The sequence below is a fragment of the Homo sapiens genome, chromosome 5, assembly GCF_000001405.40.
Source record: "Homo sapiens chromosome 5, GRCh38.p14 Primary Assembly".
Taxonomy (NCBI): Eukaryota; Metazoa; Chordata; class Mammalia; order Primates; family Hominidae; genus Homo; species Homo sapiens.
This window is the reverse complement of record NC_000005.10, coordinates 87,862,734-87,874,188: the sequence shown is the minus strand read 5'-3', so window position 1 is coordinate 87,874,188 and position 11,455 is coordinate 87,862,734. Positions and strand designations below refer to the sequence as shown.

The 11,455-nt window shown below is 36.2% G+C and overlaps 1 long non-coding RNA gene across 1 annotated transcript, besides 1 other annotated feature; it reads left to right on the top strand.

Moving 5' to 3' along the window:
• Positions 573–1,592: an enhancer, noted in NCBI's record as "VISTA enhancer hs266". NCBI's record gives its function as "enhancer in: forebrain[9/10]" and the evidence as "EXISTENCE:transgenic organism evidence [ECO:0001131][PMID:17130149]".
• Positions 6,037–10,862, top strand: LOC124901023 (uncharacterized). The gene is made up of 2 exons (XR_007058862.1): positions 6,037–7,968; positions 10,387–10,862. It is a non-coding gene; the product is annotated as an uncharacterized LOC124901023 (long non-coding RNA).
• The last annotated feature ends 593 nt before the right edge of the window (positions 10,863–11,455 follow it).

Below are 11,455 nucleotides of genomic sequence, written 5' to 3'. Positions count from 1 at the left end.
TAAGCAAATGTCCTCTCAGCAACTCCAAATGGCTGCAGTTCCTATTGAATACAATTCTCTTTTCAAGCCATTGATGTGAAATGATTCTATTGACACTAACTTTTGAAGAAAACCTTTAGTTGAAGGGAGCTATGTCCAACATTTATCTCTATTGGTGGAATTTTTTCATTTTATATATTCTTCTTTTATTTTTTATGTGAGAAGGAAAAAACAAAGTCAGATCAAACACATCTATGGAACAAAGCACAAGGGTTCACACTAATGTGCAGGGATGAGAAGACTTTGCTCTAATTTGCTCTCAAAAGCCCTGATGCATTTTCCCATACCCCATACACAGGCATGACAGTGGATACCTCAGCCACTTTTGCACATGCCTAAGAAATGTGTTTCTCACTTAAATTGCAGTTTCCACACTTTTCTGAACATATCTCTTAAACTTTTTTTTGTCTTCCTTTCCTTTTTTTGAAAAGAAATAGAAGGTAAGTTTCGAAATAAGCATTAGTGGAATAACTTGTTAGATTTGGAGATGGAGCAGTACTTTTCATTCTTCCAGGCATGTATTTGAAAAGAATTTGCACCTAAATTGCCTTGACTGACTGTTTCTATTCCAAGTTAAGTCATGATACCAGTTGAGTAAAGACACCCAGAAAACCCTTCTGGGCATTGCAAGGTTTCTCTTCCCTTTAGCGTTTGAAGTCAATGCTGACAACACATCTACTGTCCACTGGTCCTTTAATCAGTGTCCAACCTATCCGACGAGAATAGCCCCAGGATGGAGCCCCAGACCAGGCCATGGGCAGCACCCTTTTGTCCCTCTCACATGGATGGGACATGATTCCACAGGATTAGCCAACAATTATATGCTCTGAACTGATCAATTCAGTCAATTTACTGTGCAAAGTAAATTGATCCTTCAGAACAAAGGATTCTGTCAGCAGGGAGCTACCTGAGAAAGCAGCATGCCTGTGTAAACAGTTCTGTCCTTGTCCCAGTGTGGAGTGGCCCTGCGCCATATGGTGCCACTATGAACTTATTAGCTGACGGATTAACTGATCTCTGCATTTGGGATCCCCAGTTTCCAGCTGTGAGAATGATTGATGGGCTAACTACTGCTCCAGTCTTGGAAGTTATTTCCTCCATTTAACAGAGTCAAGAAGACAGAAAATTGCCCCCTTTGTAAATGCTAATCTCACCACTCCTTCGAACACCCAACATAGCAATTTATTCAAGGCAAAGTCTTAAAATTGGTATAGTGCACATCAAATGCATACTAATTAGCAATTTCTTTTGAAGGCTCCATCACTTATTAAGGGTCTCCTTTTCCATATGTTCATCATGCCCCACTTCACCCTTTAATTACAAAACAGCACTTTCAACTAATTGTGAGAAGGTATATTGTGCCCGGAATCTGTATTAAACTCTACACCTTCTGATGCCTAATTTAGGGTCACATCGAAGGCAGACAGATAAGCAGGCAAAAAGGCTTACAACTGTCATCTGCAATTTTAAGCATATTTGGGTGTTGTTCAGAAAGAACATTTTATCTAAGATGCCAGCTATGACATTCATCACTGGGCATTACCACAAACCCTGAGTAGAAAGAAGGGGATTGATTCCAGATTAATAAATGGAATCTTTCCTTCTTCGAGGGAAACCCACATAAACTCGACAGATACATGATAATATTATTTGTAACTTTGTAATTACTTCACCTATATGTAAAAGGACCACACAAGTTTAAAAGGTTAACAGTCTGTTATTTAAATATGTATATGATAGTTGCACCATAGAAAGGGGAATTTTGCAAAAATACACCTGAATAACACTTAAAATAAATGCCTCTCCTCTTGGGAAATGTTGATGTTTTCCTGCATTAAATAAAACCCAGAGCCTTTAAGCCAGCTAGATAACTCTAACCTTGATCCCAAGTATATGTCTGTCATTTATTATCCTCACTAGAATGTTTTATGATAAAGACCTAGTCAGCTCCTTTCTCTGGCCCTCTTTTTCTACAGAATTTTCTAGACAATCTAGTGATACTTCCTTGTTGATGTTGGTTCCCAGAGATAGAACTGGTGGGAGTTTATGGTTCAGGTATATGTAGGCTACCTGGAGACAGACCCAAAGAAACCTTTGGATTTGGGGTGGAGAAAGGTGAGGTAAGGGATTCGCACTGTAAAAGCAGTTCATTTTTCACAAATCTTTAGTGAACCTGACTTCATCAGATAACAGTAGAACCCTGTAAATAAGCCAAGGAGCCAGACCAATCAATCTATCTTTAAATTAGGACCACTTTGAGGTAGGCTTTGAAACCATTCCTATATTCACAGTTGATGTATGGCAGAAATGGGAAAACCATGAATGGCAAAATATGTATAAGACTCTGTTTTTTTTTTGTTTGTTTGTTTTTTGTTTTTTTCTAGAAATTAACTTCAAAGATTCTTGAGCAGACCCTTGGTTGTTTGCTGTCTTCAGCCAAATGTCTTTGTTGAAACCAAAATTGCATCTTTTTATGATGGTTATTCAACTTTAATTTCCAAACTCTCTGATTCAGAATCAGTTTCCTTCAGACTATGGTTTGGTGGATTCTAGTCAAGGTTTATTCAGGGTTTTAATCCTCCTTTTAGCCATGTGTCTTTGGCCAGATTTTGATCTTTTTGAATCTCAGCTTCCTCATCTGAGATCATGAAGGGAATTATATCTCACCTCAAAGGTTTGGCTTATATCTGGTGTGCTGATAGGTGAGTATGCTAGTTTAGCATGGAACAGAGTTAGAAGCTAAGACTTTCCTTTGCTTCTCCTTCCTTTCATTTACTAACCACTTTGGCAACTTCAGTTTATCAGTTCAGTATCACACTTACCATTTAGGTTTCTTCTGTAGAGAAATAACTTGAGTTTTTCTCTTCCCTAAAGAGAGCAGAAAGAAACTGTCATTAAAATAGAGGGAAAATAAAAAATATCATATTATCTTCTTTCAAGCAATATAACGTATACCAAATATTAATGTAGTGTGTGTGTGGGGGTGGGGGGGGCGGTCAATCATTTATTTTTAAATCACTTTCTGAAATTTGCTCTTTCTTTCTTTCTTTTTTTGAAAGAGTCTCAATCTGTCACCCAGGCTGGAGTGCAATGGCGTGATCACAGCTCACTGCAACCTCTGCCACCTAGGTTCAAGAGATTCTCATGCCTCAGCCTCCCAAGTAGCTGGGATTACAGGTGTGCACCACCACACCCAGCTAATTTTTGTATTTTTAGTAGAGACAGGGTTTCACCATGTTGGTCAGGCTAGTCTTGAACCTCTGACCTCAGGTGATCCACCCACCTCAGCCTCCCAGAGTGCTGGGATTACAGGTGTGAGCCACTGCACCTGGCTTGGTTGCTCTTTCTTTAATAAACAGTTGAATTTTAATATTGAAATGTGATATATGCAAAGAGAACAACTTATGTGAATACTGGAATTAGAGGATGATCACCATATTTATGAAAAACTGGTGCAAAGGAAAGTTGAGGAAGTCATCTGTATAAACCTGGCAAATAATTGTTAGGGAAGAATGATTTTAGCATTTTTTTGTGTTTTATGAGTCCAAAATTCTTAGCAAATTTATACTGAATTGAATTGTAGGCAGCCAAATAGAACCCTCCAAATATCCTCAAACACACTAGACAGTCACTTTATTTTGACTTTGAAAATCTGACCGTAGTAAATGTTTTTATTTATAGAAATCTTCACAATATTTTAATAGTTAGGTTAGATATACTTTGTTGGGATATCAAGATGGTAAGCCACAATTTGTTCTTTGAAAGAAAATATGCAAATCCTGTTTCTAATTATTCATGCTAATTAGGAGGTTTACTTGAAAAAAGTGTGTGACAGATAAATGATTCACATTTGGTTGAAGAATAGAGTCTATTACTTTTTCATCAGATTTATCATTTCCTTTACCTTCCCCACCTTCATTCAGGCAATTCTTTTAGACAAATGTCAGCAAGCTTAATTTCCACCTCTGTATCAGATTATTCTAGAATTATCACATGTTTAATAGTGATAAAGGTGCCACAATATTTCAAAAAGTTTTTCCTTATTTGCTGTTTATTTTTTTCCCCGTGGGAGAAACTATGAATTATATATCATTCAGGTTAAAGAACCTCCACCTCTAAGTGTCAGGGGAATTTTGCCTTTGAAAAACCTCTCCTTTCATCCTAACCAGTTTTTGGACTCCAAGTGACATGAGGTTAAAGAGCCTCTTTTATACATCTGTACATATCTGGTCTTTTAAAAAGAGTAAGTACTCAATGAATGTGGTTGAATGAAAGAGATAGTCACGGTCTATGAGAAGCATGGCTATTTGCTATCACATAGGATAAGAGTACCAAAGAACATTTGCAATATATACCAGTCTTGTACAGTATTCTGAGCTTTATTTAATGAGTTTTAAAATTGTGACTTTTAGAGAGCAGAGTCCACCTCCAGTCACTTTCTCTCACTCTCTCCAAATATCTACTTCACAAAGATTGAGTATAGATGATCACTGATTCTATACGGGCTACTTCACATAATTTTGATCTGATCCTTTTTCACTACCCTTATTTGTGTGTATGTGTGCATAAATACCAACAGTGTGGTGGGTGGGTAGGTAAGTAGGTGAGAAATCTCTCCCTCCAAAGATTAACTGAATTTTTTATTTGGGGAATTTTTAGTGAATATGTGTCAATTCATTTGATATTATAGAATGCAACAAATGTTTTCAGATTAGCTTGATTTTCATCTTTTGAGTTCTCAAAAGCTACACTTCACATTTCCTGACAGTTATATTTGGAACCAGAATTTACTCCTTAGTTTCAGGTAATTTTTTCAGTTTTTATACTTTTAAATTTTATAGTTCAAGGATTGTTGCTGAGTGTTGTTTGCCTTCATGAGACTAATAATATTCCCGTGTTTAAAGGGGTATATTTTAAGTGATACATATATTCACAGCATAAAAATGTAGCGTACCTAAGTCAACACCAGAGGATTTTCCAGTTTTAAAAATCTTCGCAAGTTTACAAACTAAAGTTTTCTTGAAAGAAGAAAATCACTTTGACTATTACTTTGTACTTCTTAAAAAAAATCAGTCACACAAAGGAAGGCAGGCAATGGCCACAGAACAATCAAGTGATTACCTCATTATGTCATCATTTGGATAATACATGAATATACAACAAACAGCTGACCAACTGTATAGTTCCTTCTGAGCCACAAATGTGTAAATTCCTTACAAAGCAAGATCAACAGTACTGTGATAGTGACATTGCTTTCATAATAGAAAATAAATAGTTCTTAAGAATAACCAGATCAGAAATGTGCCTCAAGTACATTACCAATGAAAAAGATTACATAAGCAATGAAACATATATGAGATTCCAGTATTTTCAATTTGGTGGGAATTTTTGAAATTTACTCCTAAAATTTCTAGAAATGAATGCAAAGTTGCCCAAGGAAATGATTAATAAAATGAGAATTATATTGGGAACTATTCCTGTTTTGGAAAATAAATCATACCCAGCATTTCTTACTGTATTTAGAAGTGTTTTTATCTTCTTTTTTGAAAGGGCCTTACACTTCCTATCTCCTTTCAAATATTTGTTATGACAGTGTTCCTCATTCAAATGAATAGAGCGATACTTTTCATTCATTTGGATCAAAACCAGTATTGAAACATTTTCAGACTCTTTTGCACACTTCTTTTAGACTAGAGATTGAGGAAAGAAACATGAAAATTGTACACCTTTATTTTTTATTCATTACTGTCTTGAAAGACTTAAAATGTTCTTTTTTTTTTCATAATGGCAGCTGGATGAACAGCTCATATGCTGAGTTAAAATCTGAATCAACATGAAATGACTGAAATTCTAAGCCTAAAAAAATTACTGTTTATAATGGAAACTCAAGCATAATAGTCCATGATGGAAATTCAGTCACCATAGTCAGGTGGATGGTGACGCTGCAATAAGGAAATGTAATTAAGTTGTCTATATCAGGAGGAGAGTTGACTAATCATTCATGGGGAGCCTTATTGCTATCATTTTTTAAATTAATTTTTTTCTTAATTATCCTTAGATATTTCATTTTCAGCTACAACTTAACGCAGATAAAACCTACTTCTGATTTCTCTTAATTACTAATGCTGCAAAGGTGTTGCATCTTTTCCAAGCTCACTTACAACCAACTTTCAAATCAATTAAGGCATCTCAAAAGCATTTCTAAAATACCAGATGCTCTGTCAGCTGCACAGAACAATGTGTTAATAATTATATTTCTCTTTCTTACAGCAGATCAAAGCCAGAGATGAGGTGACATACACCTAAGATATTCAAACTCCAGCTTGAAGGTCAATTGGATCTGCCGACATATGTTGCTGATTTTGTAACATGAAAGCCAGCTAAGAAAAACAGATCAGTGAAATGCATATTCTTCGTATTCTTAATTTCAGCCCTATCCAAATGTTTACAGAATAGTTTGAAGAGATTTGCAGTTTCTTGTTATCAGTCTTATTAAGCCTTGGCAAACCTTTAATAACAAGTCTATCAACAACCCACCAGGGATTTGATTTTAGTCTTGGAGTGCCTGAATTTTTACGCTATTGAACAATTTTTAATTGGAAGCACCGGGACCTTTTCTGATCAGTTGTCCACGTTGCCTCATGAATGGGTGGCATTCATGCTCAGCTTGAAAAGGCAATGGCAGCTGGGGAAAAAAATAAGGCTTTGTGTAAGCCGAGAAGAGGGCAGGCAGGCAGGCAAACAGCAAGATTCCCCTAGAAGTAGCTTTAGTGTGGGTGTTTTAAGCCACACAGAAAAAAGTAAACTAGAATAATCACCACCTTGCACTTGTTTTATGTTTCCATGGTTTAACTTAAAACACTGGCACAAGGAGACAACTACCATTCTAAAGTCAGAACCTCAGTTAAACTAGAATTGTGGGTCAGATCCATGTCTGCCAACTACATAGGACACTTGGAAGTGCAATTTAGAAAGAGAGAATATAGTAGCAGTTTCCCCGCTAGTAAATCCTACACACCCGTGCCAGGTTAATTTTATCATGGTTATTAGAATGTCAAAACCTTCAAGGATTTCCATCTGCTCTTAGAGTAAAATACCAACTTCTACATTTGTGTTTCAAAGCTCTCTCTAAAATAACCAATCCTACACATCCAGTTCTGCATGAGAGTCAGGGCTCTGAAGCCAGATTATCTGGGCTCAAATTCCACCTCCATCATTTACCAAGTTGTATCACCTTGCACAAGTCACTTAACCTCTGTGTGCCTTTGTCTTCTCCTTGTAAAATGCAGATTAAAATATTGCCTCTATTACATGATTGTTATGAAGATTAACTAAGTTAATATGTGAATGTTCTTAAACTGGCCTAAAACTTAGTGAGAATAAGCACATATAAATGCTTGAGTAAGGGATGTCCCACTGTACTACAGTGCATTATGTTCCTTCCTTTCTCTCTCTACTCATGGTTTTCTGTCTACTTAAAATTCTTTGCAAGGTTAGAAATGGAAGTAGTCAGAAACCAGAAAGCTAGCCAGAATGAAAATCACTGAAGCAGAAAGACTAGATTGTCCTTCCAGAAGAAGGATCTGTTCAGAATTCTCCCAGAACTTTCCAGCCTCTATACATTTGCTTATTTAGTTCTCCTTTTCTGGTATGCCTTTCCTTCTTCTATCTATTCAAAACCTACTCAGTCTTTCAAAATCAAGATGGAATTCTCTGTGATGCCTTTCTCAAATGCTTTGGACTTACTCATGTTTTCATGAACTGTATCTCCTATTGATCTGCCATTTTTTGGTCCTTAATTATATACCAATTTGTGTTGCAAATTAATATTTGCTTTCATATTAGTCTTATTTCCCCCAAATAGATGGTTAGCTTATCAAGCACAAGAGCAGAGATTTATCTTATATCTCGTGTGGAGCTGAGCTTAAAGTAAGTGTTCAATAAATTCTATTGAATAGACTTTAATAAATTCAATTAATGTCCTCTCCTTCAATCCTGTCTGCAGTAGTCACAGTAACTAAAAATAAGAGGTTTAAGAAAAGATCAATAAAAGGCTGAAAATATCATGAATAAGAAACTAAAACTAACTACCAAAGCCAAGGTAGATTCTGATGGGCTGAAGCTGAAGAAAAAAATGGTTCTTCCTCTGAAATATTTTACAATTTGTTTCACATATTTAAAATATATTTGAAAGTGAGGAAACTGGACACAAATAATATCACAATGAATTAAGTCAGAACTAGTGCTCAAATCTCTATCTTCTGGAACTAATCTGTCTTAACTCATTGTGGGATTCTGTGTGTCCAGTGCACCTATATCTACCACACTGTGGATTACGGTGAAAAAAAAAAAAGGATTATCTAGAGTAGTTAAGTCTCTAGATTTGTTCATCTAGGTGGAGTTAAAAATTTCATTGGCAAGTAGATTGTTCACCAATTTCTGTAAGTAATGGCTATTAAAAAACTCTTTTCCCATTGGAAACTCAGCATTTTAGACATGTGGTAGGCTCTTAGTCTTTGTTAAACAACAGTGATGTTATTTCTTCAATTTTGATACTTGGTGTGTACTCTTATTTCCTGGCTGTTCATAGTTTATGCCAATTATGCCAAATTTTTATCAACTTTATCCAAATTTTATTTGTTGTCCAATATTTGTTTGACTAACTTGCCAATTTCTCAGTGCATATTTATCCAAGAGGAACTGAAGTATTGTCAGTATAGTTTTGATACCAGCAAGGTTATATAATAAAAAACTAACCTTTAGTGACTATATTTGTATATTTAATATTAAGTATAGATCACATGTGGCTGCTTGACTTCTGATGCAACTCTATGTGTTTTGAAATAGATCTGAGGCTCCTTATAGGAATAGACAATGGTCTCTTCAGTTGAATTTTTGCTGACTTTTCTCAATATGTGACAATCTCTTAATTTTCCTGACTCTACCCTATCTAGGTTCTCCTCTTGTGTCTTCCTTCACTCCTTTAATAAATCTTAGTTCTCAGTCCTCCACTGTATTTTCTATATAATGCCTTAGATTTCATCTCAGTCACTGTAGTGCTTTCACTATTTCTGCACAGATGATGCTATAATATTTACTTCAGCCTTCAAAATTCTAACCAGCTCTTCTCTAAAACCCTACTAGACATTTCTTCTTGGGCAACCTACCTATACCTCAAGTTGGATGTATTTTTAACTGAATTCATCATGTCTCTGAAATTGTCTCTGTCTCTTAATTTTCTTAACACTATTCCTCCCGTTCATTAGGAAGTTCAGTCTCCTTTGACTCCTCTCCTTTCCTGACTGCATATTCATTTGGTCCTATAGTATTGTCTGTTTGATCATCTTGATATCTGCAAAGTCCATTTTTCCTTCTGGCACTTCCTTTTCCATCTCTTCAACTGGACTGGCACTGCAGTTCAATACCCAGAAATGCACATAGTAATTACTTGTTGAATCAATAAATGAATAACTTTCCTATCTCAATTTCTTCGTGCCTTCAATATATTCCAGATTAATTATTTCTCTGTAGCCCCAGCTACCGGGAGGCTGAGGCAGGAGAATGGCATGAACCCGGGAGGCGGAGCTTGCAGTGAGCCGAGATCACGCCACTGCACTCCAGCCTGGGCGACAGAGCGAGACTCCGTCTAAAAAAAAAATAAAAATAAAAAATAAAAAGACATATTCATCCTGTTACTTATACTGGAAAGCCTTTCCGAGCTTTCACTCTTCTGTAATAGTGCTTCCCTTTCCTCACTTTGCATTAGTACCACATGGAGAGATTGTAGAGAATACTGTGCCCAAGCCTCATCTAGACATAGGAAGTAGACTCTCTGGACATAGGACCCAGACATTCAGGGGTGATATCCAAAGAATTTTACCAGTGATATGACAAAAACACTAACCAATCAAAACTGCTTTCCTGACCAATCAGCATGGACTATGGCTGCAAAAACCAGAATGGTCCTAAATACTATCTAATTATCAGCCCTGCCAATACTCATGTTTATTAAGATCTCAAAAAGGTAATTCTAATGAACCACTGATTACAAAATACACTCATATTTCTGACCCTGGCAATCAAGACTCTTTATAATAAGGCCTAAATTTCCCTTTAGAACATTATTGCCTCTAGCCTTTATATGAAATCTCTGCTCTAATCATTTTATATCTACTAACTATGCCTTGCTCATTGCCATTTCCTAGCTTTTACTTACAGAGTAGGTGTTCTATGACAGGGTAAACTTTGCTTTACTTCATTTTAATGGAAAATAGAGGTAATGTAAAGTAGAACATTAATGCACTCAACCAATCAAACAGTAATTTACAGTGTTTGTGAACTTTTTAGGATGTGTATGTTTGCTTACCAAGAATGGCACTGAATTACAACGAATGATGAAAAGTTATAATCATGGAATAGACGGGAGCAGAGACGAAATGTTCAAGCCTTGGCTATGGAGGAAAAAAATTGCTGATGGAAAGAGAATGGCCGTGTATGTCTACTAAACATCACACTCTTGATCTTTTAAAAAGGAATTGTTTCGTGAATTTCTAACTTGTCTTTTATGAAGTTATGGTTCATTCTTTTAAATAATATGAGGAAATGTTGACCAAAAATGACTGAAGTGTGTTGAAAAAAGAATAATCTCCAAAAATAATGGAAAGTAATTCTGTTGTTGCTACTTCACGGAGCTCTTTCCTTACATTGTGTTTTTAGTGTCCTTGGCTACTTCTTAGATCCAACGTGTACAACAAAATGCTAAAATGTAAAGAGCATAATTTAGGGATCAATAAAATTTTATCTGATAGATGCCTCACTCACAAGAAGACTCAGATGACACATAAAGGGCACTGATGTAGGAATAACTAATCACTGTCAACTGTACTCATGGGAAAAATCAGCATAACTCCCATGTTCAAGTAAGAAGAAAATTTTAAGTCATTGAGTTATATCACATCTAGTTCCAGAAGCCTGTTTTGGGTTATTTGTGCCCTGGGAATTCCTGCAAATTCAGAGACCAATTCTAGGATAAGATGATTGAACTAGTCTGTTCTTAACTGCTTTAAAGAACTATTTGAGACTGGGTAATTTATGAAGAAAAGAGGTTTACTTGACTCACAGTTCTGCAGACTGGACAGGAGGCATGACTGGAAGGCCTCAGAAAACTTACAATCAGTGGAAGGACAAAGGGGAAGCAAGCATGTCTTCATGTAGTAGCAGGAGAGAGAGAGAGAGAGAGAAAGAGTGAAGGGAGAAGTGTTACACACTTTTAAACAATCAGATCTTGTGAGAGCTCACCCATTATGAGAATAACTGCAAGGGAAAAATCCACTTCCCATGATCTAATCACCTCCCACCAGGCCGCACCTCCAACACTCACAATTCAACATGAGATTTGGGTGGGGATACAATGATT